The sequence below is a fragment of the Homo sapiens genome, chromosome 1 (genome assembly GCF_000001405.40).
Source record: "Homo sapiens chromosome 1, GRCh38.p14 Primary Assembly".
In the NCBI taxonomy this organism is placed as follows: domain Eukaryota; kingdom Metazoa; phylum Chordata; class Mammalia; order Primates; family Hominidae; genus Homo; species Homo sapiens.
In genome coordinates, this window is record NC_000001.11 from 42,856,855 (window position 1) to 42,884,670 (window position 27,816).

General features: G+C 41.6%; 1 long non-coding RNA gene across 1 annotated transcript in view; it reads left to right on the forward strand.

Annotated features, from left to right (window-relative positions):
* The first annotated feature begins 767 nt into the window (after positions 1–767).
* LOC339539 (uncharacterized) overlaps positions 768–27,816 on the forward strand; it is a 31,171-nt gene continuing 4,122 nt past the window's right edge. The window contains exons 1-3 of the long non-coding RNA NR_104171.1: positions 768–854; positions 13,231–13,307; positions 23,500–23,579. This is a non-coding gene — a long non-coding RNA (uncharacterized LOC339539). The remainder of the gene's footprint in view (positions 855–13,230; positions 13,308–23,499; positions 23,580–27,816) is intronic.

The window sequence follows — 27,816 nt, forward strand, 5'->3', positions numbered from 1 at the left end:
ATTTGTTCCTGCCCCACCCTAACTAATGAATCAACCTTGTGACAGTCCTCCCCTGGACAAAGAGTCTCAGGAGCTCCCCACCGAGCACCATGTGACCCCCACCCCTGCCCGCAAGAGATAACCACCTTTAACTAATTTTCCACTACCTACCCAAATCCTATAAAACTGCCCCACCCCTATCTCCCTTTGCTGACTCTGTTTTTGGACTCAGCCCACTTGCACCCAAGTGAAAATAAACAGCCTTGTTGCTCACACAAAGCCTGGTTAGGTGGTCTCTTCACATGGATGTGCGTAACGTTTGATGCCAAAGAACCCGGGACAGGGGGACTCCTTTGAGAGATTGGCCCCCTGTCCTCACCCTCACTTCATGAAGAGATCCACCTATGACCTCGGGTCCTCAGACCAGCCCAAGGAACATCTCACCAATTTCAACTCAGGTAAGCGGTCTCTTTGCTCTCTTCTCCAGCCTCTCTTGCTACCCTTCAATCTCCCTATCTTTCCAATTTCAGTTCTCTTTCCTTTCTAGTAGAGACAAAGGAACACATTTTATCCGTGAACTCAAAAACTCTGACATCGGTCATGGATTTGGGAAGACAGTCTTCCCTTGGTGTCTGATCATAGCAGGGACGCCTGCCTTGATCATTCACCCACATTCCATTGGTGTCTGATCTCCATGGGGACGCCTGCCTTGATCATTCACCCACATTCCACTGGTGTCTGATCTCCACGGGGATGCCTGCCTTGATCATTCACCCACACTCCCTTGGTGGCAGGTCAATTGCAGGGATGCCTGCTTTGCCTGTTCACTCACATTACAGCCCAGGACTCAGTCAAGGATGCCTACTGGAAGCCTGGTAGGTGCCCACCTCCATTTCTCCATGTCTCTACCTTCCTCTTTAAACTTACCTTCTCCATTATGGGCAACTTTCCACCATCCATTCCTCCCTCTTCCCCCTTAGCCTGTGTTCCTAAAAACCTAAAACCCCTTCAACTAACACCTGATCTAAAACCTAAACATCTTATTTTCTTCTGTAATACTGCTTGACCCCAGTACAAACTTGACAATAGTTCCAAGTGGCCAGAGAATGGCACTTTTGATTTGTCTATCCTACAAGACCTAGATAATTTTTGTCAAAAATTGGGCAAATGGTCTGAGGTGCCTTACGTCCAGGCCTTTTTTACACTTCGCTCTCTCCCTAGTCTCTGCTCCCAATGCAGCTTGTCCCAGATTTTCCTTCTTTCTCTCCCGTTTGCTCCTTCAGTCTCCATCCCAAGTTCAGAGTCCTCCAAATCCTCCTTTTCCACTGACCCCTCTGACCTCTCTCCTCTTCCCCTGGCTGCTCCTTGCCAGGCTGAATTGGGTCCCAATTTTTCCGCAGTCTCTGCTCCCCAACCCTATAACCCTTCTATTACACCCCTCCTCACACCTGGTCTGGCTTACAGTTTCGTTCCGTGACTAGCTCTCCTCCACCTGCCCAACAATTTCCTCTTAGAGAGGTGGCTGGAGCTGAAGGCATAGTCAGGGTACATGTGCTTTTTTCCCTATTGGACCTCTCCCAGATCAGTCAGCATTTAGGCTCTTTCTCATCAGACCCCACTAAATATATACAGGAATTCCAATATTTAACTCAGTCCTACAATTTAACCTGGAGTGACTTAAATGTCATCCTGACTTCTACCCTCTCCCCAGATGAGCGAGAGTTTATACCCTAGCCCAATCTCATGCTGATGACTGCCAGCGTCCTGAGCCAGGCCTCCAAGAAGACACCAGGGCAGTTCCCCAGGAGGATCCCCAATGGGGATACCAAACAGGCTCCCAAGATACAGCTAGGCAAGATTACATGGTCTCTTGCCTAGTTGAGGGGCTTAAAAAGGCAGCATACAAAGTTGTTAATTATGACAAACCTAAAGAAGCCACCCAAGGTAAGGACGAAAACCCAGCTCAGTTCATGGCCCGCTTGGTGGCTACCCTCAGACGCTTTACAGCCCTGGACCCAGAAGGGCCAGAAGGCTGTCTTATTCTTAATATGCATTTTATTATCCAGTCTGCTCCCGACATTAGGAAAAAATTCCAAAAACTAGATTCCAGCCCTCAAACCCCACAACAAGACTTAATTAACCTCGCCTTCAAGGTGTTTAACAATAGAGAAGAGACAGCCAAGTGACAACGTATTTCAGAGCTGCAACTGCTTGCCTTTGCTGTAAGACAAACCCCAGCCATGCCTACAGCACACAAAAACCTCAAAACAACAAAACTGCAGCCTCCAGGCACTCCTTCAAAACCTCCTTATGGACCTTGCTTCAAACGCCAAAAGCCCGGCCACTGGGCCTCGGAAGGCCTGCAGCCCAGGATTCCTCCTAAGGCTTGTCCTGTTTGTGCAGGACCCCACTGGAAGTCTGACTGTCCAACTCAGATTAAAGCTGCTCCTAGACCTGCTGGAGCAAAAACCCAGGGCTCTCTGGCTGACTCCTTCTCAGATCTCCTGGGCTTAACAGCTGAAGACTGACACTGCCTGATCATCTCGGAAGCCCCTTGGACCATCACGGACACCAAGCTTTGGGTAACTCTTAAACAGTGGAGGAAGACAGGAATGTCAGGCCTCTGAGCCCAAGCTAAGCCATCATAACCCCTGTGACCTGCACGTATACATCCAGATGGCCTGGAGCAACTGAAAAATCACAAAAGAAGTGAAACAACCAGTTCCTGCCTTAACTGATAACATTCCACTATTGTGATTTGTTCCTGCCCCACCCTAACTAATGAATCAACCTTGTGACAGTCCTCCCCTGGACGATGAGTCTCAGGAGCTCCCCACCAAGCACCTTGTGACCCCCGCTCCTGCCTGCAAGAGATAACCACCTTTAACTGTAATTTTCCACTACCTACCCAAATCCTATAAAACTGCCCCACCCCATCTCCCTTTGCTGACTCTCTTTTCGGACACAGTCCACTTGCATCCAAGTGAATAAACAGCCTCGTTGCTCACACAAAGCCTGTTTGGTGGTCTCTTCACATGGATGCATGTAACACTCACTATGGTGCCCAGGCTGGTGTTGAACTCCTGGGCTCAAGAGATCCTCCTGCCTCAGCCTTCCAAAGTGCTGGGATTACAGGCACAAGCCACTGTGCCCAGCCTGCATCTTACTATATACATGGTGTCTTACTATCACCATTGATCTTTTTTTTTCCACATTGCAATAATTACTCCAATATTGCAGTGTGTCTTACAATTAATGTTTTGGATTAAATGAAATATCACATAAGAAAGAGATGACATGGTGATGTCAGCAAGATGGTACAATAGGAGGTAGGTGTCAGCCTCCATTTCCCTCACAGAGACACTGACTTAACAATATACAGACCAAAATACCTTTATTTTGGTAGAATTCTAAAAACCAATTAGGTTTTACTACCCCAGGCAAGCACAAAGCCAAAAAGAACCACACTGAAACAGGTAAGGAGCTGTTTCACTTTATCTGTGATTGTCTCTTCCTCAAACCAGCACAGCTCAGCTTGGGTCACAGGTTCTTCCTTGGGGGAAAGAGAAGAGCAGAACATACATTTAATGTTCTGGCCTTTTAGAAGGCTGCCCACGGACTGGTTTATTCTCTTGCCTAACTTGATGTACTAATGGAACTGGAATACTCTGGATGCCCGGGGGCCACTGAAAGCAAGGGAGAACGGGGTTGGGAAGTACATCTTGCTGCAACACTGGAGGGCCTGTAGTGCCAGAGACAGAGGTCAGCACACTCAGCACAATTGAGAGAAGGCTCCCAATTTGTGGCTTCTCTCTTGGGAAGGAAGGAGAAGAGCAGAACATGTGTTAGTATTCTGCCTTTTGGGAGAACTGCCTAAGGGACTGGTATTTGTCACCTAATTTGGGGTGCTAATGGGGAGCCAACATAATTTGAATGCCTGGGGGCCACTGAGCACAAAGGAGAGCAGGGAGACTTGCTGCAGTACTACCAGAGAACCTGCAGTACCTCAGACAGACACTAGAAAGAACAGAAAATTATGCACTTCTGAAAGTAACAACAAACTGGCAAAGGTCTGTAATTGGGAAATTAGAAGCATGAGCCCAGAGAAGTAACATCCCCTCTGAAAGGATTCGGAGGTTCCCAGAATCTATCTTGGCTGCTTATTGAAGCCAAGACCTTACTGAAGGTCTTTCTCTGTATGAAGCCAGTCTGTGAAAAATCAGAAAAACAATGTGTGAATGAAATGAGAATGTCAGTAGAGACAGAAACAAATAACCAAACAAATTCTGAAACTGAAGAATACAATAACTGAATTGAAAAATTCACTACAGGGGTTCAACAGCAGACTTAAGCAGAATGAAGAATCAGGTAACTTTGAAGACAGATTGAACTTAGTGAGTCAGAGGAACAAAAAGAAAAAAAAGAATGAAGAAAAGTTAAAAAATCCCAAGGGATTTATGCCACACCATCTAGTGGATCAATATACACATTATGGGAGTTCCAGAAGAAGAGGGAGAGAAAGGGATTGAGAATGTAATTGAAGAAATAATGGCCCAAACTTCCAAAATCTGAGAAATGAAATGGATATCCAATCCCAAGAAGCTCAAAGAACTCCAATTAAGATGAACCAAAGAGGCCCACAATAAGGAGCACTCATTACAATCAAACTGTCAGCAGTCAAAGACAAAATCTTGAAGCTAGCAAGATAAAAGCAAGTCATCACATACAAGGAAACTTTATAAAATTATCAGGGAGTTTCTCAGCAGAAACCTTATAGGCAAGAGGGAGTGTGATGATATAATTAAAGTGCTGAAAGAAAACACACACACACACACACACCCTGCCAAACAAGAACACTACATCCAGCAAAACTGTCCTTCAACAATGAAAGAGAGGCTGGGTATGGTTACTGATGCCTATAATCCTAGCACTTTGGGAGGCTAAGGCAGGAGGATTGCTTGAGGTCAGGAGTTTGAGAACAGCCTGGACAACATAGTGAGACCCTGTCTCTACACACACACATGCGCGCACACACACACACACACACAAAGCTGGTGTGATGGCATGAGCCTGTACTCCTAGCTATTCAAGAGGTTGAGGTGGGAAGATCACTCAAGCCCAGGAATTTGAGGTTAGAGTGAGCTATGATCATGCTAGCCTTCCAACCTGGGTGATGGCAAGACGATGCTAAAAAAAAAAGAAAGAAAAACTTACTAAGATAAGCAAAAGCTTAGGGAATTCATCCCCACAACACCTGCCTTACACGAAATGTTAGGGTGAGTCCTCAGGTTTAACCTAAAGGATGCTAGACAGCAACACAAACACATACAAAAATATATGACTCACTAGTAAAGGTATATCTATAGATAAATACAAAAGACTATAACACTGTAATGTTGGTATGTAAATCCCTTAATAACTGGTATATAATTTAAGAGAGAAAAACATAAAAACTCAAACTGCATTGATGCATACAAAATATAAAAAGATGAAATTTGTGACATTGATAAAGTGGAGGAGACGTAAAGGAGTAGAGTTTTTGTATGTAATTGAAATTGTTATTAGCTTAAAATAGATTGTTATAATTATAAGATGTGTATGTAAATCTCATGGTAGCCATGAAGAAAATATCCATAGAAGATGCACAGAAAAAAATGAGAAAAGAATCAAAGCAAGTCAACACACACAAAAATCAGTGAAACACAAAGGAAGGGCACCAAGAGAAGAAAAGAGAGACAAAATAACTACGAGACAGACAGAAGTAATAATAAAGTGGCAATAATAAGTTCTTTCCTATCAGTAATTATTTTAAATGTAAGTGGATTAATCTCTACAATCAAAAGACATAGTGTAGCTGAATGAATAAAAGTAATTCTGGTTACTAGTTCCACGTGTAAGGAGCTTAGAAGTCACCCCTCTGTTTTAGCAATAAGTAAAAGCTGAACGAACTGAAAGATCAACAACTCTTCTTAGATCCATAAAACAAGTGAGGTCACAGGGCAAATCATTGCCCCCCAAATTGGAGAGACAGGTAGATACAGAGAATCACAACATACCAGAACAGAAACCTGTGTGGAAACCAGTGCCAGGGTAGGAAAACCTAAACTGTAGCTGATCAACTTCTGGAACATTTGGAGAGCTCACAAGGGACTGGTACTTGAAATTCTGTAGAGCTCCTTGTTTCATTTAGGACTTGTACTCCATGCCTTTTCTGAGAAGGGTCTTTCTCTTTCTTAGCAGTGAAAGGAACTAGTCTGTCCTTCCTGGTTTTCTGTTAAACTAAGCCTATTTCATTTTAGCTCCTTCTTGAATTCCAGCCAGCTAAGACTTTCCTCTGGAATAAGTCTCAGAGTTAAAAATGTCAGAGGACTGCAGTGTCCTGACACTAGCTGGAACCAGTGATGTGGCCATGTTCCTGGCACCTGAGACCACTCAGTACCCTACACCCCAGGGAACAGACAGCCCAGCACATCAGGGAGATTGCCCCCAGGACATAGGGAGCCAAAGTTCACACCCCTCAGAGTCTGAGAGCTGCCTGCCTAGGGCCACCATCACTGATAGCAACTCTGCCCCCTTTAGCAGAGGGGTCACACACTGCCTGGGGGCCCAAGGACTGAACTTCTTGGGGCTGCTGCTACCACTGCCACCATGGGTGCCTGTGTGCATGCCATCTTGGGGCCAACGACCGGCCCACCAAGGGCAACCATTTCCACCACCAGCACCTGTGCATGCTGTCCAGGGACCAGAGGACAATCCATTTAGGGTCACTGCTGCCACTACTGATACTTGCATGCACTGCCTGGGGATCTGAGGACTGGCCCACACAGAATCTATATCTACAGCAAAGCTTCACCACAGCCTTCACAAACAACTGCAGCCTAAGCCAATGAGGAACTTGGAGATACTGGTGACACTGATTACAGCTGTAGGAATCATACAGACACTACACTATAATGCTCACTCAGAACCAAAGCTAAACAACCCTACCCAATTGATACTATAGATACATCTACAGGAAAAAGTCTTCCCCTGTGAAAGCTACTTCATAAAATTGGAAGAAGTGACTATTATACTAGATGCATAGATATCAACATAGAGACACAAGAAACAAACAAAAAAGGCAAGGAAACATGACACCTCCAAAGGAACACAATAATTATTCAGTAATAGACCCAAAGAAAAGGAAGTCTACGAAATGCCTTAAAAGGGATTCAAGCCGGGCGCGGTGGCTCATGCCTGTAATCCCAGCACTTTGGGAGGCCGAGGTGGGCGGATCATGAGGTCAGGAGATCGAGACCATCCTGGCTAACACAGTGAAACCCCGTCTCTACTAAAAATACAAAAAATTAGCCGGGCGAGGTGGCCGGCGCCTGTAGTCCCAGCTACTAGGGAGGCTGGGGCAGGAGAATGGTGTGAACCCCGGGGGGCGGAGCCTTCAGTGAGCCGAGATCGCGCCACTGCACTCCAGCCTGGGCAACAGCGAGACTCCGTCTCAAAAAAAAAAAAAAAAAAAAAAAAAAAAAAGGGATTCAAAATAATGATGATAAGGAAATTCAGGAAGCCGGGCACAGTGGCTCATGCCTGTAATCCCGGTATTTTGGGAGGCCAAGGCGGGTGGATCACTTGAGGCCAAAAGTTCAAGACCTGCCTGGCCAACATGGCGAAACCTCATCTCTACTAAAAATACAAAAAAATTAGCTCGGCATGGTGGTGCATGCCTGTAATCCCAGCTACTTGGGAGGCTGAGGCACAAGAATTGCTTGAACCCAGGAGGCAGAGGTAGCAGTGAGCTAAGATCATGTCAGTGTACTCCAGCCTGGGTGACAGAGTGAGACTCAATCTCAGAAAAAAAAAAAAGAAAGAAAGAAAGAAAAAAGCCTATATGACATATAGGACACCATCAAGAAAATAAACATTTGTATTTTTGGTATTTCAGAAGAAGAGATGGCAAAGGCATAGAAAACCTACTTAATGAAATAATCACTGGAAATGTCTCAAGTCTTGAGAGAGAAATATAGACATCCAGATATGGAAAGCTCAGAAGTCTCCAGATTGATTCAACCCCAAAAGGTCCTTTCTGGGACACATTATAAAACTGTCAAAAGTCAAAGACAAAGAGAATTCTAAAAACAAGAGAAAAGCATCAAGTCATATATATAAGGGAATTCCCATCACACTAACAACAGCATAAACCTTACAAGCCAGGAGAGAAAGGACTCATATATTCAAAGTGCTAAAGGAAAAAAAAACAAAACAAAACTACTAGCCAAGAATACCCACCAAAGGTATCCTTCAGAAATGAAGGAGAAATAAAGTTTTTCTCAGATAAGCAAAAATTGAGGGACTTCATCACCACTAGACTGGTCCTAAAAGAAATGCTTAAGGGACTCCTACATCTGCAAGCAAAAAGATTATATCAACACTTATGAAAACACAGAAAGGTATAAAACTCACTGGTAGAGTTGATATACAAATAAAAAAAAGAATCAAATATTATCACTAGAGAAAAACCACCAAATTGCAAGGATAAACAATAAGAAAGGAGTAAATGATATATAAAACAATCAGAAAACAATTACAAAATGACAAGAGTAAATCCTCACCTATCAATAGTAACCCTGAATATAAACGTTTCAAATTCCTCAATTAAAAGATATAGAACAGCTGGATGGATTTAAAAAAAACCAAACTATATGCTGCTTACAAGAAAGTCACTTCACCTTTAAACATATAATAGACTGAAAGTGAAGGGATGGGAAAAGATATTCTACACAAATGGAAACCAAAAGCACGCAAGGATAGCTATACTTTTATCAGACAATATACACTTTAAGTGAAAAAACAGAGACAGAGGTCATTATATAATGATAAAGGGATCAATTCAGAAGGAGGATTGTGAATATATATGCATACAACACCAGAACACCCAGATATGTAAAGTGTATTAGAGCTGAAGAGAGACCACAATACAATAATAGATGGGGACTCCCACACCCCACTTTCAACATTGGACAGATCATCTGGACAGAAAATCAACAAGGTAATATCAGAATCGGAAATTCATTTTTCTATTTTTTTCCTCCTTCTTCCTTTACATAGAAATATGTTTTTCTATGTTTAACTTTATCTATTAACTTTTATCTATAGCTGGTTAGATTTTTCTCTCTTTTTTTTCTCTTTTGTTTTTTATGACCACAAAGATCCAGAAGATATCTACAGTTGGTTTGAAAGTTATATTTTATACTTCTGGAGGTTTCCCTAACTTACCTACACTCACTTTTATACTTTTTACATACATAATCACAAGGTCCCACAATAGGCTGTCTGCAAGCTGAGGAGAAAGGAGAGCCAGTCAAATTCCCAAAACTGAAGAACCTGGAGTGCAATGTTTAAAGGCAGGAAGCATCCAACACAGGAGAAAGATGTAGCCTGTGGTCATTTCTCCAGTGCCAGAATGCATAATTGGCATAGACATACTTACCAGCTGGCAGAACCCCCACATTGGCTCCCTGACTGGTAGGGTAAGGGCTATTACGGTGGGAAAGGCCAAATGGAAGCCGTTAGAGCTGCCTCTACCTAGAAAAATCAAAAACAATATGGCATCCACGGAGGGATTGTGGAGATTAGTTTCACCATCAAGGACTTGAAAGATGCAGGAGTGGTGATTCCCACCACATCCCCATTTAACTCTCTTATTTGACTTGTGCAGAGGACAGATGGATCTTGGAGAATGACAGTGGATTATCATAAGCTTAACCAAGTCATGACTCCAATTGCACCTGCTGTACCAGATGTGGTTTCATTGCTTGAGCAAATTAACACATCTCCTGGTACCTGATATGCAGCCATTGATTTGGCAAATGCTTTTTCCCCATTCCTGTCCATGAGGCCCACGAGAAGCAATTTGCCTTCAATTGGCAGGGCCAGCAATATACCTTTACTGTCCTACCTCAGGGGTTTATCAACTCTCCGGCTTTGTGTCATAATCTTGTTTGGAGAGACGTTGATCAATTTTCTTTTCCACAAGACATCACGCTGGTCCATTACATTGATATCATTATGCTGATTGGATCCAGTGAGTGAGAAGTAGCAAACACGCTGGACTTATTGGTGAGACATTTGTGTACCAGAGGATGGAAAATAAATCTGACTAAAATTCAGGGACCTTCTATCTCAGTAAGATTTCTAGGGGTTCAGTGGTGTGGGGCCTGTCAAAATATTCCTTCTAAGGTGAAGGATAGGTTGCTGCATTTGGTCCCTCCTACAACCAAGAAAGAGGCACAACACCTACTGGGCCTATTTGGATTATGGAGGCAACACATTCTCTGCGTGGGTGTGTTACTCTGGCCCATTTATTGAATGACCTGAAAGGCTGCCAGTTTTTATTGGGGTCCAGAACAGAGAAGGCTCTGCAACAGGTCCAGGCTGCTGTGCAAACTGCTCTGCCACTTGGACCATAAGACCCAGTAGATCCAATGGTGCTTGAGATGTCAGTGGCAATAGAGATGCTATTTGGAGCCTTTGACAGGACCCCATAGGTGAATCACAGTGGAGACCTCTAGGATTTTGGAGCAAGGCCCTGCCATCTTCTGCAGATAATGTCTCTTCTTTGGAGAGACAGCTCTTGGCCTGTTACTGGGCTTTGGTGGAAACTGAACATTTGACTATGGGTCATCAAGTCACCATGCAACCTGAACTACCTATCATGAACTGGGTGCTTTCTGACCTGTCTAGCCATAAAGTGGGGCATACACAGCAGCATTCCATCATCAAATGGAAGTAGTATATATGTGATTAGGGTCGAGCAGGTCCTGAAGGTACAAGTCAGTTACATGAAGAAGTGTCTCAAATGCCCATGGTCTCCACTTCTGCCACCCTGCCTTCTCTCCCCCAGCCTGCACTGATGGCCTCATGGGGAGTTCCCTATGATCAGTTGACAGAGGAAGGGAAAACTGGGGCTTGGTTCACAGGTGGTTCTGCATGATATGCAGTCACCACCTGAAAGTGGATAGCTGCAGCAGTACAGCTCCTTTCTAGGACATTCCTGAAGGACAGCGGTGAAGGAAAATCTTCCCAGTGGGCATAACTTTGAGCAGTGCACCTGGTTGTGCACTTTGCATAGAAGGAAAAATGGCCAGATATGCAATTATGTACTGATTCATGGACTGTAGCCAATAGTTTGGTTGGATGGTCAGGGACTTGGAAGAAGCATGATTAGAAAATTGGTGACAAAGAAATTTGGGGAAGAGGTATGTGGATGACCTCTCTGAGTGGTCAAAAACTGTGCAGATATTTGTATCCCATGTAAGTGCTCATCAATGGGTGACCTCAGCAGAGGAGGATTTTAATAAGTGGATAGGATGACCCGTTCTGTGGACACACTCAGCCTCTTTCCCCAGCCACCCCTGTCATTGTCCAATGGGCCCATGAACAAAGTGGCCATGGTGGTAGGGATGGAGGCTACACATGGGCTCAGCAACATGGACTTCCACTCACCAAGGCTGACCTGGCTACAGCCACTGCTGAGTGCCCAATTGCCAGCAGCAGAGACCAACACTGAGCCCTTGATATGGCACCATTCCTCGGGGTGATCAGCCAGCTACCTGGTGGCAGGTTGATTATATTGGACCTCTTCCATCACGGAAAGGGCAGAGGTTTGTCCTCACTGGAATAGACACTTATTTCAGATATGGGTTTGCCTATCTTGCATGCAATGCTTCTGCCAAGACTACCATCCATGGATTCATGGAATGCCTTATTCACCATCATGGTATTCCACAGAGGATTGCCTCTGACCAAAGCACTCACTTTACGGCTAAAGACGTGCGGCAGTGGGCTCATGCTCATGGAATTCACTGGTTTTACCATGTTCTCCATCATACTGAATCAGCTGGATTGACAGAATGGTGGAATGGCCTTTTGAAGTCACAATTACAACACCAACTAGGTGACTGTACTTTGCAAGGCTGGGGTGAAGTTCTCCAGAAGGCTGTGTATGCTCTGAATCAATGTCCAGTATATGGTACTGTTTCTCTTATAGCCAAGATCATGAGTCCAGGAATCAAGGGGTGGAAGTGGAAGTGGCACCACTCATCATTACCCCTAGTGACCCACTAGCAAAATTTTTCTTTGTGTTCCTGTGACATTATGTTCTGCTGACCTAGAGGTCTTAGTTCCAGAGGGAGGAAGGCTGCCACCAGGAGACACAACAACAGTTCCATTAAACTGGAAATTAAGATTGCCACCTGGACACTTTGGGTTCCTCCTACATTTAAGCCAACAGGCTAAGAAGAGAGTTACAGTGTTGGCTGGGGTGATTGACCCAGACTATCAAGATGAAATCAGTCTGCTGCTCCACCACGGAAGTAAGAAAGAGTATGCATGAAATACAGGAGATCCATTAGGGCATCTCTTAGTATTACCATGCCCTGTGACTAAGGTCAGTGGGAAACTACAACAGCCCAATCCAAGCAGGACTACAAATGGCCCAGACCCTTCAGGAATGAAGGTTTGGGTTACTCCACCAGGCAAAAAATTATGACCTGCTGAGGTGCTTGCTGAAGGCAAAGGGAATAAGGAATAGGTAGTAGAAGAAAGTAGTCATCAATACCAGCTATGACCACGTGACCAGATGCAGAAATGACTGTAGTTGTCATGAGTATTTCTCCTTCTTTTGTTAAAAACATGTTTGTGCATGTGTACACTTGTACTAAGAAAATTTTCTTCATTTTTATTTCCTTTTTTCCTTTATCATGTGATATAAGATTTATTGACTTCATATCAGCATTTAAGTGTTGTTAATTTTACGTAATAGCATTTGGGTTGGGGATTGGTGCCCAAAAGATAGTTGTATTATGTTAGGTGTAATTATGTCTTTATTTGAATATTATGTTTTTATTGTCTTATTTGAAGATTATGTATGATCTCAGGAGATGTGTATGGGTTCAAGTTGACAGGGGGTGGACTTGTGATGGTTAATACTGAGTGTCAACTTTATTGGACTGAAGGATGCAAAATATTGTTCCTGGGTGTGTCTGTGAGGGTGTTGCCAAAGGAGATTAACATTTGAGTCAGTTGACCGGGAAAGGCAGATCCACCCTTAATCTGGGTGGGCACAATCTAATCAGCTGCCAGCGTGGCCAGAATAAAAAGCAGGCAGAAGAACATGAACAGAGTAGACTGGCTTAGCCTCCCAACCTACATCTTTTTCCTATGCTGGATGCTTCCTGCCCTTGAACATTGGACTCCAAGTTCTTCAGCTTTGGGACTCAGACTGGCTTCCTTGCTCCTCAGCTTGCAGATGGCCTATTGTGGGACCTTGTGATTGTGTGAGTTAATATTCCTTAATAAACTCCCCTTTATATATACATCTATCCTATTAGTTCTGTCCCTCTAGAGAACCCTAATACACATACAATGGAAGATTATGCAGCCTTTGAAAAGAATGAAATCCTGTCATATGCTGCAACATGGATGAAACTTTGGGACATTATGCTAAGGGAAATAAGCCAATCACAAAAAGCAAACACTGCAACACTGCATGATTTTACTCAAATGAGTTATCTAATGCAATCAAACTCATAGAAGCAGAAAGTAGAATGGTGGTTGCAAGTCTATAGAGTGAGGGAAATAGGAAGTTATTATTCCATGGGTACAGAGTTTGAGACATGTGAGGTGAAGATGTTCTGAAGATCTGTCATATAACGATGTGCACATAGTTAACAAGACTGTAGTGTACACTTAAAAACTGAGAGGGTAGGCCGGGTGCGGTGGCTCATGCCTATAATCCCAGCACTTTGGGAGGCTGAGGTGGGTGGATCACCTGAGGTAGGGAGTTCGAGACCAGCCTGGCCAATATGGTGAAACTCCGTCTCTACTAAAAATGCAAAAATTAGCTGGGCGTGGTGGTGGGTGCTTGTAATCCCAGCTACTTGGGAAGCTGAGGCAGGAGAATCGCTTGAACCCGCGAGGCAGAGTTTGCAATGAGCCGAGATTGCACCACTGCACTCCAGCCTGGGTGAAAAGAACAAAATTCCGTTTCAAAAAAAAAAAAAAATTGAGAGGGTAAATTTATTTTATGTATTTTTTTTTAACCACGAAAAAATAAAAAGAAAGAAATGAGCTAAGGCAAGAATTGGCTTGACCGTTTATGTCCTAGAATGCACAGATTTGGAAGGAAAGATATGATAGGGGTTCAGGAGTCTCAAACAGCAAAACAAGACTGCTCAAAACTTTTGTAAAGCACCCTTTACACTTCTCAGTTATGTAATGGGAAATAAGTCTGTGTCTTGGATTAGACCAGGGATATTGCTTTTTCACTCAGTACTATTGTTTCAGTTGTCCTCCAGATAGCAGCCATTAAACTGAAGAATAGAGGGATGGGATGGATGGTATAAGGAAATTAGAAATGGTCTTTGTTGTCTAAATAATTAAATGCCATTTTAAAAAGATTAGATTTCCCTAACAATCTAGAGTTAAAGCTTCCAATGATTTCAAAGTGTCAGGGAGGTAATCAAGAGACAGAGAGAGAGAGGTAAATGCATGCCAAGATTGTTAATTTGTTTGGGGTAAAGATTTAGATGCCATGAGTTTTAGGCAATCATAAGAAAAAAAAAAGTATAAATGTGAGTGTAGGTAAGTTAGGGGAAACCTCCAGAAGTATAAAAATATAACTTTCAAACCAGTTGTAGATATCTTCTGGATCTTTGTGGTCAGAAAAAAGAAAAGAGAAAAAAGAAAAATCAAACCAGCTATAGATAAAAAATTAAACATAGAAAAACATATTTCTATGTAGAGGAAGAAGAAGGAGAAAAACAAAAATGAATTTCCAATTCTGGTAATTCTGTGGACTAAAAAACCGTTTATAAAGCACCTACAGTTGTGCAATTGCTACATAAAACACAGCAAATATCCACTTAGATGCATGCAACTTTTTTTCTTTAGTTTACAGAGACTCAGTTTGTATTTATTTATTTTTTGATTATACAAGTAAATTTTAATGAAAACAGTGTGCATACATTTTGTGGCTAAATCTAATTATAATGCTCATTATTGGCATAGAACTTTCCAGTTTATAAAGAACTTAAAAAAAACCTTGTAGTTATGAGGTACATGTGCAGGTTTGTTATATAGGTAAATTGTGTGTTGTAGGGGTTTGCTGTATGGATTATTTCATCATTCAGGTAATAAGCATAGTACTCAGTAGGTGGTTTTTCAATCCTCATCCTTCTCCCACCCTCTACTGTCAAGCAGGCCCTGGTGTCTATTGTTTCTTTCTTTGTGTCCATGTGTACTCAATGTTTAGCTCTCACTTATTAGTGAGAACATGCGAACATGCAGTATTTGGTTTTCTATTCCTGCTTAGTTTGCTAAGGATAATGGCCTCCACCTCTATCCATGTTGCTGGAAAAGACATGATCTCGTTCTTTTTTATGCCTCAGTAGTATTCCATGGTGTATATATACCACATTTTCTTTATCCAGTCTACCATGGGTGGGCACTTAGGTTGATTCCAGGTCTTTGTTATTATGAATAGTGCTGTGATGAACATATGCATGCATGTGTCTTTTATGGTAGAACAATATATTCCTTTGATTATATATCCATTAATGGGATTGCCAGGTCAAATGGTACTTCTGTTTTAAGTTCTTTGAGAAATAGCCAAACCACTTTCCACAGTGGCTGACCTAATTTACACTCCCACCAGCAGTGTGTAAGCATTCCCTTTTGTCTGCAGCCTTGCCAACATCTGTTATTATTATTATTATTGCTTTTTAATAAAGCTGACTGGTGTGAGATGATATCTCATTGTGGTTTTGATTTGCATTTATCTAATAATTCGTGATGTTGAGCATTTTTTCATATGCTTGTTGGCCACGTGTATGTCTTCTTTTGAAGTGTCTGTTCATGTCCTTTTCCCACTTTTTAATGGGATTGTTTTTTGCTTGTTAATTTGTTTAAGTTCCTTATGGATTCTGGATATTAGACCTTTGTCAGATGCATAGTTTGAAAATATTTTATTCCATCCTGTGGGTTGTCTGTTTATTCTATTGATAGTTTCTTTTGGTGTGTGGCAGCTCTTTAGTTTAATTAAGTCCCATTTGTCAATTTTTGTTTTTGTCACAATTGCTTTTGGCATCTTTTCATGAAATCTTTGCCAGGGCCTATGTCCAGAATGGTATTTCCTAGGTTTTCTTCAAGGATTTTTATAGTTTTAGGTTTTACATTTAAGTCTCTAATCCATCTTGGGTTGATTTTTGTATATAGTGTAAGGAAGGTTCCAGTTTCAATCTTCTGCATATGGCTAGCCAGTTATCCCAGTACTACTTATTGAATAGGGAGTCCTTTCCTCTTTGCTTGTTTTTGTTGATTTTCTCAAAGATCAGATGGTTATAGGTGTACAGCTTTATTTCTGGGCTCTCTATTCTGTTCTATTGGGTTATGTGTCTGTTTTTGTACCAGTACCATACTGTTTTGATTACTGTAGCCTTGTAACATAGTTTGAAGTTGGGTAATGTGTCATGCCTCCAGCTTTGTTCTTTTTGCTTAGGATTCCTTTGTCTATTCAGGCTGTTTTTTTAAGTTCCACATGAATTTTAGAATAGTTTTTTCTAATTCTATGAAGAATGTCATTGGTAGTTTGATAGGAACAGTGTTGAATCTGTAAATTGCTTTGGGCAGTATGGCCATTTTAACAATGTTGGTTCTTCCTATCCATGAGCATGAAATGATTTTCCATTTGTTTCTGTCATGTCTGATTTTTTTCAACAGTATCTTGTAATTCTCATTGTAGAGATCTTTTACTTCCCTGGTTAACTGTATTACTAGGTATTTTATTTTATTTTCATTTTTTGCAGTTATTGTGAATGAGATTGTGTTTTTATTTGGCACTCAGCTTGAATGTTATTATTGTATAGAAATGCTACTGATTTGTGTATTTTGATTTTATATCCTGAAACTTTGCTGAAATTGTTTATCAGGTCTAGAAGCTTTTGGGCAGAGACTACAGGGTTTTCTAGGTATAGAATCATATCATCTGCAAACAGAGATAGTTTGACTTCCTCTTTTCTTATTTGTATGCCTTTTGTTTCTTTCTCTTGCCTGATTGCTCTGGCTAGGACTTCCAGTACCGTGTTGAATAGGAGTGTGAGAGCAGGCATACTTGTCTTGTTCTGATTCTAAAGGGGAATGCTTCCAGCTTTGGCCCCTTAATTATGCTGGCTTTGGGTTTGTCATAGGTGGCTCTTATTATTTTGAGGTATGTTCCTTCAATGCCTAGTTTGTTAAGAATTTTTAATATGAAGATATATTGAATTTTATTGAAAGCCCTTTCTGTATTTATTGAAATTAACATGTGGTTGTTTTTAGTTCTGTTTTCATGATGAATCACATTTATTGATTTGCATATGTTGAGCCAACCTTGCATCCCAGGGATAAGGCCTTCTTGATCATGGTGGACTAGCTTTTTGATATGCTGCTGGATTCTGTTTGCTAGTATTTTGCTGAGGATTTTCACATTGATGTTCATGAAAAATATGGTCTGAAGTTTTCTTTTTCTGTTGTTTCTCTGCCAGGTTTTGGTATCAGAATGATGCTGGCCTCATAGGTTGAGTTAGAAAGGAGTCCCTCTTCTTCAATTTTTTTGAAATAGGTTTAGTAGTAATGGTACTAGCTCTTCTTTATATATCTGGTAGAACTTGGCTGTGAATCCATCTGGTTCTGGGCTTTTTCTGGTTGGTAGACTTTTTTTTTTTTTTTTTTTTTTTTTTTTTTGAGATGCAGTCTTGCTCTTGTTACCCAGGCTGGAGTGCAATGGCGCGATCTCAGCTCACTGCAACCTCTGCCTCCCATGTTCAAGCTATTCTTCTGCCTCAGCTTCCCAAAGTGCTGGGATTACAGGCGTGAGCCACCACACTTGGGTGGCTTTTTATTACTTACTTAATTTTGGAACTCATTATTAGTCTGTTCAGGGTTTCAGTTTCCTCTTGTTTCAATCTTGAGAGGTTGTATGTTTCCAGGAATTTATCCCTTTCCTGTAAGCTTTCTAGTTTGTGTTTGCATAGAGGTGTTTGTAATGGTCTCTGAGAGCCTTTTGTATTTCTCTGGTGTCAGTGTTAATGTCTCCTTTGTCATTTCTGATTGTGTTTATTTGGATCTTCTCTCTTTTTCTTTGTCTATCTAGCAGTCTATCAATCTTATTTATTTTTTCAAAGAACCAACTTCTGGTTTTATTGATCGTGTGTGTGTGTGTGTGTGTGTGTGTGTGTGTGTGTGCATGTGTGTGTGTTTCATTCTGTTCAGCTCTAATTTTGGCTATTTCTTGTCTTCTGTTAGGTTCAGGGTTGGTTTACTCTTATTTTTCTAGTTCCTCTAGGTGTAATGTTAGGTTGTTAACTTGACTTACATCTTTGTAACTTTTTGATATGGGCACTTAATGCTATAAACTTCCCTCTTAACACTGATTTAGCTGTGTCCCAGAAATTCTGGTATTTTTATATCTTTGTTCTCATTAGTTTCAAAGAATTTCTTGATTTCTGGCTTTATTTCATTGTTTATGCAGATGTCATTCAGGAGCAGGTTGTTTAATTTCCATGTAATTGTATGACTTTGAGTGATCTTAGTATTGATTCCTATTTGTATTACACTGTAGTTCAAGAGTGTGGCTGGTATGATTTTGCTTTCTTAATTTTGCTGAGAATTGTTTTATGGCCAATTTTGTGGTCAATTTTAAGGCGTGTGCCATGTGCAAATGAGAAAAATGTACATTCTGCTGTTTGGGGTAGAGAGTTCTGTAGATTTCTGTTAGGTCCATTTGGTCAAGTATTGAGTTCAGGTCCTGAATATCTTTGTTAGTTTTCTGCCTCAGTGATCTGTCTTATACTGCTAATGGGGTGTTGAAGTCTCCCACTCTTATTGTGTGGTTACCTAAGTCCCTCTGCAGGTCTCTAAGAACTTGTTTTATGAATCTGCATGCTCCTGTAATGGATGCATATTTATTTATGATAGCTAAGTGTTTCTTGTTGAATTGAACCCTTTACCAATATGTAATGCTCCTTTGTCTTTTTCCATCATTGTTAGTTTAAAATCTGTTTTGTCTGAAATTAGAATAGCAACCCCTGCTTGTTTTTTTTCCTTTGCTTTGTTGTATATGTTTCTCTATCCCTTTACTTTGAGCCAATGGGTGTCACTGCATGTGAGATAGATCTCTTGTAGACAACATAGATTTGGGTCTTGCTTCTTTATCCAAATTACCACTCTGTGCCTTTTAACTGGGGGCATTTAGCCCACTTACATTCAAGGTTAATATTGATTTGTGTTTATTTGATCTTGTCATCATGCTGTTAGCTGGTCATTATGCAGACTTGATTGTGTAATTACTTTATAGTGTCAATAGTCTGTGTGTTTTTGTGGTGGCTGGTAATGGTCTTTCCTTTCCATATTTAGCACTCTCTTAAAGACCTCTTGTAAGGCAGGTCTGGTGGTAATGAATTCCCTTAGCATTTGCTTGCCTAAAAAGGATCTTATTTCTCTTTCAGTTATGAAGCTTAATTTAGCTGGTTATGAAATTCTTGAATGGAGTCTCTTTTCTTTAAAAATGCTGAATGTAGGCCCCTAGTCTCTTTAGGTTAATAGAATTTCTGCTGAATGGTCCACTGTTAGTCTGATGAGGTTCCCTTTATAAGTGACCTGCCCCTTCTTTTTAGCTGCCTTTAATATTTTTTCTCTCATGCTGACCTTGGAGAATCTGATAACTATGTGTATTGGGGATGGTCATCTTATATAGTATCTTGCTCAGGTTCTGTGCATTTTCTGAATTTGAATGTTGGCCTCTTTTGTGAGGTTGGGGAAATTTCTGTGGATGATATCCTCAAATATGTCTTCAAGTTCTTTGCTTTCTCTCCCTCTCTTTCAGGGATACCAAAGAGTCATAGATTTGGTCTCTACATAATCCTGTATTTCTCAGAAGTTTTGTTTATTCTGTGTTTTTTTTTTCTGTTGTTGCCTGAGTTAATTCAGAGAACCAATCTTCAGGCTCTGAGATTCTTTCCTCTGCTTGGTCGATTTTGCTGTTAATACTTGCAATTGTATTATGAAATTTTTGTAGCGTTTTTCAGCTCTATCAGATTAAGTGTGCTTTTTTCTTTAAATGCCCACTTTATTTTTCAGCTCCTGTATCATTTTATTGTGTTCCTTAGATTCTTTGGATTGGGTTCAACTTTCTCTTGAATCCCGATGATCTTTGTTCCTATTTATATTCTAAATTCTATGTTTGTCATTTCACCCATTTCAGCCTGCTTAAGAACCATTGCTGAGGAACTAGTGTGGTCATTTGGAGGTAAGAAGACACTCTTACTAGGGTTTTTGTGCTGGTTCTTTCTCATCTATGTGGGCTGATGCTCCTTTAATATTTGAATGTGCTGTCCTTTTGATGGGGTGTTTTGCTTTTATATTCTTTGATGCCCTTGGGGGTTTGATAATGGCATAATGTGGGTTCAGTTGACGGGCTTTGTTTCTAGAAGATTTCAAGAGGCCAAGGCAGAGCTCAACACTCCTGGGCTTTGTACTCTAACTCTGGGGGCGTGGTACTGAGCCCCCAGCTTTGTTGTCTGGTCCCCCAAGGTTAGGAACTTGTTACACTGGAGAGGCTGAGGTATTCCCAGACTGCTGGCCACACAACATTCCAGTGGAGAGTGCCAGCCAAAGTACTTCACAGGGGCAGTGGCAGCAGGATCTGTGCTCACTTGCACATGCTAGCAGCTGCAGAGGCACAGTGGGGTGCACGCACATTAGCTGGGATGGGGCACTGGCAGGAGTGGAGCAGCAGGGTCTGTCATTACCAGCTTTCAAGAAAATAAGGAAAATTCCTAGAGGTAAAAAACAAACAGAAAGCTGAAAACCAAGTGATAAGTGGGTGCTGACACTTTGGATGTTCTGAGCATGTTTACTGGTCTTGTAAGTCAGGGCTGTGAGTCTAATGACAAGACAATGACAAGAAAATGGGGACTTGGATTTATGCAGGGTGAAGATTTGTAACTGAGATCTCTGGACAAAGATGATACCCTCAATTACCTACACCTTAGTGAAAAAGTGATCTAGGAGAAAAAGAAAACCAAAACACTTTGCTTGCTTTTGTGGGCTTGTGTTGAATGGTATTGATCTGGTTTATATATTGAAATAATTAGAAGAAGATGTTTGCAGTAAGGCATTTAAAATTCTGTAATTATTCAGGTAAAGGGAAAAATATTAATTTTTGAGATTAAGCATTCCTGTGAAAATGGTAAGGAAGGCACTAAAGCAATAAATTGAATTCCAATTAGTAAAGGGGAAAACCTGGATTAATGAAAACAAATCAATCCCAAAGAAAAATAGGACAAATAGAAATATTTGTCTAAATAAATGTGAAATGGAATGAACTAACCAGTTAAAACACAAAAATTTTTCAGATTAGTTAAGAAAACCCCTGTGGCTTACTCCTGTAATCCCAGCACTTTGGGAGACTGGGGCAGGAGGATTTATTGAGGCCAGGAGTTCCAGGCCAACCTGGGCAACATCCCTGTAATCCGAGCTACTCAGGAAGATGAGGCAGGAGGATCTTTTTACAGGAGTTCGAGGCTGCAGTATGCTATAATCATGCCACTGCACTTCAGCCTGGGCAACAGAGTGAGACCCTGTTGCTAAAGAAAAAAAGGAGGAAAGAAAGAAAAAAAGAAACCCTCAAATCCTGTTATATGTTATTTATAAGAAATAAACCTAAAATGTAAGCACACAGAAAGGTTGAAAGTACAAGAATTTAAAAAATTATCCCAAGGAATTACCAATTAAAAGAAATTTAGTGTGTAGAAAATATAGACTTTAAAGAAAAAAGCATTATTAGGGATACAAATGGCCACATAATGAGGAGTTACAATTCACTAGTAATATATATTTCCAAAGTTATAAGCACCTCAAAAGTTATGTGTAGCCTTGTTTCTTTGAGTGGAAGCTCTAAGAATCAGTGTGTATTTTGCCACAGTGCTCTTTTTTCCACTGCTATGGCAACCAGGATTGTTCTAGGTAGTACCTTCTCCATCAGCCCAGGTCCCAGACTGAGGACGAGGACAATACTCCTAGCCAATTCATGATGGACATGTGTCATGAGCAAGAAATAAATCTTTGGCTGGGTGTGGTGGCTCACGCCTGTAATCCCAGCACTTTGGGAGGCCGAGGCGGGTGGATCACGAGGTCAGGAGATCGAGACTATCCTAGCTAACATGGTGAAACCCCATCTCTACTAAAAATACAAAAAATTAGCTGGGCATGGTTGCGGGCACCTGTAGTCCCAGCTACTCGGGAGGCTGAGGCAGGAGAATGGCGTGAATCCGGGAGGCAGAGCTTGCAGTGAGCCAAGATCACACCACTGCACTCCAGCCTGGGTGAAAGAGTGAAATTCCATCTCAAAAAAAAAAAAAAAGAAAGAAAGAAATCTTTTATGGGTTCTTCTTTTTTGACAGCTTTATTGAGGCACAGCTGACACAATTTGATAAGTTTTGACATAGGTTTGCACCTATAAAGCCATCACCACATCAAGATAATGAACACATCTATCACACCTAAAAGTTTCTTCATGCCCTTTGTGATCCCTTTCCCTCATCCCTCTTCTCTGTCCATTGGCTTTCAGGTGAATGTTGAATCTGCTTTTGTCACCGTAGATTAGCTTACATTTTCTAGAATTTTGTATAAATGGGATCATGCAGTATGTATTCTTGTTTTGGTTGGTCTGCTTTCTTTCACTCAGCATAATTATTTTGAGATTCATGCATTATGTAGTGTATATAAATATTTATCCATTTTTATTGTTGAATTTTATTTCATTGGATAGCCATACATTTATATGTTTATCCATTCACCTCTTGATGGACATTTTGAGTGTGTCCAGTTTGGGGTTATTACAAATAAAGCTGCTATGAACATTTCTGTAGAATTCTTTGTATAGCCAAATTGTCACAGGATCCTTAGGGTGTCACTTTTCCAGCTGGAAGCCTCTGTGGCCAGTGGCACCTTTGCCCGAGTTGTGCTTGGGTCTACTAGGCTCATTCTGCCCACTCAACCTCACAGGCTGTGCTCAGCTTGTTCTACTGGCCCGGATCCCATGCCTGCCAAGGGTGAGCCAGGTGCAGAGTGATGAGAGGTGCATGAGAGAGGTGCATGGGGTCCAGCCACTGCACACAGCCAGGCACACCAGCTGCTGTGGGTGGGCAGCTCCAGGCGCTGGCCCAGGTGCTGGCTCCATGTGAGGCTGTGGCTGGACCAGGCATAGTGCATGTGGCTTCCACTGTGGGCTCCAGGGAATGTGGTGCCTCCAGGAAGCTTGGAGATACCAGGAACCACAGAGCCCCAAAGAGGGTGTCACAGCCCTGGCTCAGAGAGCCCTTAGGTTTGGACTCCCTGAAGGACTGCAGCTCTTCTCTCCTTCTCATCACTTGCAATGTGGCAAGCCAGTGGGAGGGGGTGGGATGTGTTTCAGCCCTGTTTGTGTTACAGCTCTTTCAGCCCTACCATTTGGCGGGTCCCGAGTTCTTGTCCTGCATCCAGGAAGAATGAGGTATGCAGACAACTGGAAGGTAAGCAAGGCGAAAAGGTGCTTTATTGACCAACAGTACAGCTCTCAGGAGACCCAATGTAGGTAGCTCCTTTCCACAGGCAGTTCATCCTGTCAAGTGCAGCCCTCAGAAGAGAGGAGACCCAGAGTGGGTAGCTCCTATCTGCAGGCAGGTTGTCCCAACATCTGTGTGACTCTGAGTCTGGCTGAGTCTGGGTTTTTTATGGGCTTCAGAAGGGAGGAAGTGTGTGCTTATTGATCCATGGGTGGCCACACGTGGGCCCAGAAAAAGCACCATAAGTTCTCATTCCAGGCTGCAGACTCCATCCAGAACTGACAGCCGAGTTCCCATGCTCCAGGACGTTTCTGGCATGAAGATGGGGCTTCACCGGGGACCTGCCCAGAATCCTGTCAGCCTCCTGCCACCATCAATCATGTCATCCACAGTGCCCAGGCTGTTTGTGCTGAAGGGTGCCTGCAGGCCCATGCCTAGATGCCCTCAGAACCCCCTCAATCTCAAAGTCTGGAGGTGGCCGAGGCGGCAGGGGGCTGGTGTGTCAACGCCACCCTGAGTGCACTCCCACACCCTGCTGGGTTGTGACAGTGCCCAGGCTTGGCCTCAACTTTGTTCCAAAATCAGAGCATGCACTGGATACAGGGATAGGCCAGGCAAGGGGAGCAGGTACTTCCAAGCCTGCAGGGGCAGGGGGGCTTCCTGGGCCCCCGAGAGTGCAAGGATGCCTGGATCCATAACCACAGCTGGGTGGCTGCAGCTGTGCCTGGGATAGCAGGTCTCCCACCCTGCCAACTTGGAAAAAGGTGGGGCTCCTACCTGTTTCCAGCTCCCAGCTCTTTGGTGCATGCAGTTCCAGCTGGGTCTCCTCCATTGCAAAGCCAGCAACTTTGCAGTGGCCACTCTAGATGGGCTGCAGCTGCCATCAATATGCTTTCATTTCTCTTGGGTAAATAAATAACTAGAAATGGCTGGCTCAAGTGGTAGGTATATGCTTACCTTTTTAAAAAACTGCCAAACTGTTTTCCAAAGTATACCGTTGTGATTTTCATGTTTGTTTCCCTAGTGGCCAATGATGTTGAAAATATTTTTATGTGCTTATTTGCATCCATATATCTTATTTGGTGAAGTGTCTGTTTACATATTTTTTTCCATTTTTTATTGGGTTGTTTTCTTTTTCAATTCAAAATTTCTGGTCTTTGAAAGATACTTTAAACAGAATAGAAAGACAATTGGGTATGTGTGAATATAAATAGTAGCACAGGGAGATCTTTATAATAATATAATTGTTCTGTATCTTGATTGTTGTGGTGGTTACACAAATATACACATGTGATAAAATGATATAGAACTATACACATACATTGTATCCATGTGTTATTCCTGGTTTTGATAGTGTACCTTAATTATGTCAGATACAACCATTGGGGGAAACTGATTGAAGGGTATACAGGGACTCTCTACTATCTTTGCAACTACCTCTAAATCTAAAATTATTTCAAAATTAAAAATTTTAAAATAGACAATTCACAGACCTTCTAAAGTAAATTGTATGTGGATGATTGATTATAAGGGGAAAAATAAAATGGATCCCTATCTTACAACATACACAAAAGTCAATTCCTAGAGTATTTGAGACCTATATATAAACAGAAAAATTGTTATACAAGACAATATAGAAGATTATCTTTTTGACTACTGGATAGGAAAATATTTCTTAATTTGGTCAAAAATGGACAAACTAAAAGAAAGAATATCAATGAATTTGACTACATTAACATTAAACATTTCACATAAAAAAAGTGAAAAGGGCCGGGCACAGTGGCTCACGCCTGTAATCCCAGCACTTTGGGAGGCCGAGATGGGCAGATAACCTGAGGACAGCAGTTCGAGACCAGCCTGGATGACATGGTGAAACCCTGCCTCTACTAAAAATACAAAAATTAGCCGGGCATGGTGGCACATGCCTGTAATCCCACCTACTCGGGAGGCTGAGGCAGGAGAATCACTTGAACCTAGGAGGTGGAGGTTGCAGTGAGCTGAGATTATGCCATTGCACTCCAGCCTGGGCAACAGAGCAAGACTCTGACTCAGAAAAAAAAAAAGAAAGAAAGAAAGAAAAAAAGAGTGAAAAGATGAGCTACAAAATGAGAGAATAATTGCAACACATAAAGCTAAGTAAGATTTGATATGTAGAATATGTAAATAATTTCTTAAGTCAATAAGAAGAGACAATTCAGTTAGCAAAATGGACAAAAAAAAGCATTATTTCCACTCAATAAAAAGCATAAACAATATGTAAACATATTTTAAAATGTTCAGGTTCATTCAAAGTCAGGAAAATGTGTGTTGAGACCACAGTAAAATCCAGTTTCACAACCGCCAAATATAAAAGTTGGATAATACCAAATGTTAACGAGAATATGGCATAATAGGAACTTTTGTATGTTTCTAATATTGGTATAAATTGGAAAATTCCCATAGGAAAATTGTATGGCATTACCTTAAAAAGTTGAACATGCATGTACCCTACAATCTAGCAATTCTACTACAAGGTATATTCCCTAGGGAAACTCTTGCATGTGGGCACCAAGAAACATGTAGAAGACTGTGTATAGTGGCATTGTCCATAATGGCAAAACAAACAAAAATAACAAAAGCAACTGGAAAAAACTGAAATGTCCAATATTATAGTTTTGAGATTTATCTATGTTGTCACATGTATTCTTTGATTTTTACTGCTCTATAGTTTTATAGAGTATGAATTTTATTGTATTCTTTTTAGGGGAATGCTTCAAATTATTTATTATCATTAAAGTCACTAAAGCCAGACCATTTGTTTTTTTGTTTTTTTTTTTGAGACGGAGTCTCACTCTGTCAAGAAGGCTAGAGTGCAATGGCACGATCTCGGCTCACTGCAACCTCCACCTCCCAGGTTCAAGCCATTCTCCTGCCTCAGCCTCCCAAGTAGCTGGGATTACAGGTGCCCACCATCACGCCCGGCTACTTTTTTGTATTTTTAGTAGAGATGGGGTTTCACTATGTTGGCCCAGTGGGTCTTGAACTCCTGACCTCGTGATCCGCCCACAAGCCAGACCATTTTACTAGTGAGCTTTTACTAAACTTTCAAAGGAACTGATGATTCTTGTCTTATACATGTTGTTCCAAAGGGGAAAAAAATTTTCAACTCATTTTTAAGAGGTTGAAATAATATTGATAACAAAAACATTTAAGGGCAATAGAATGGACAATCTTATTTATGACATGGATGCAAAAATTTTAATAAAATATTAATTTTAAGTCCAGTATTAAATTTAAAAATAACGCATTCACAAAGTATAGCTTATTCCAGAAACGTAAGGAGTTTTCAAAATTAGAAACTCCATCAGTGCTTTTGGCTTCCCAGCCTAGTCTCATTACTTCATCTGAGGCAATGGCACAGGCAACGAGAACAATGTAAGCAATCAGCCACTACAATTACTCTGATCCAAGCCAAATTATACAGAGGACTAGGGGAATGAACATTTGGGTTCATTCCAGACAATAAGGCTAATGACTTCAACACAGAGATAAAACAGATGTGTAACTGCATGATTTATTTATTTATTCATTCATTTTTGAGATTGAGTCCTGCTCTGTCGCCCAAGCTGGAGTGCAGTGGCATGATCTCAGCTCACTGCAACCTCCACCTCTCAGGTTCAAGCAATTCTCCTGCCTCAGCCTCCCGAGTAGCTGGGATTACAGGCACACATCACCATGCCCAGCTAATTTCTTTGTACTTTTAGTAGAGATGGGGTTTTGCCATGTGGGCCAGGCTGGTCTTGAACTCCTGACCTCAGGTGATCCGCCTGCCTCAGCCTCCCAAAGTGCTGGGATTGCAGGCATGAGCCACCGAGCCCAGCCCAACTGACGATTTATTAACATAAACTGACTTGGCTAAAGTTGACAGGAGAAACAACTGTCCTATGGATCTAAAACCTAGAAACTTTCTTGACTGTAGAAACTCAAGATAATCTTTTCATTTATGACATTATCTCTTTGTCTTCTGCTTGAATCTCTTGAAAATGCCTCCCCAGTCCTCCTCCTAAGGTAGAGCTAAGTTCTCTAATAGCATTTGCATGTGGTATTGCCTTAGAAGATCACTATTTTACAATCATGAGCGTAATAAGCAGATTCAAGCAAGAATCATCAATGGATGCTAAAACCAGTGGGTGAAAGATTGTTGCAGAAGAGGATGTTCACACAG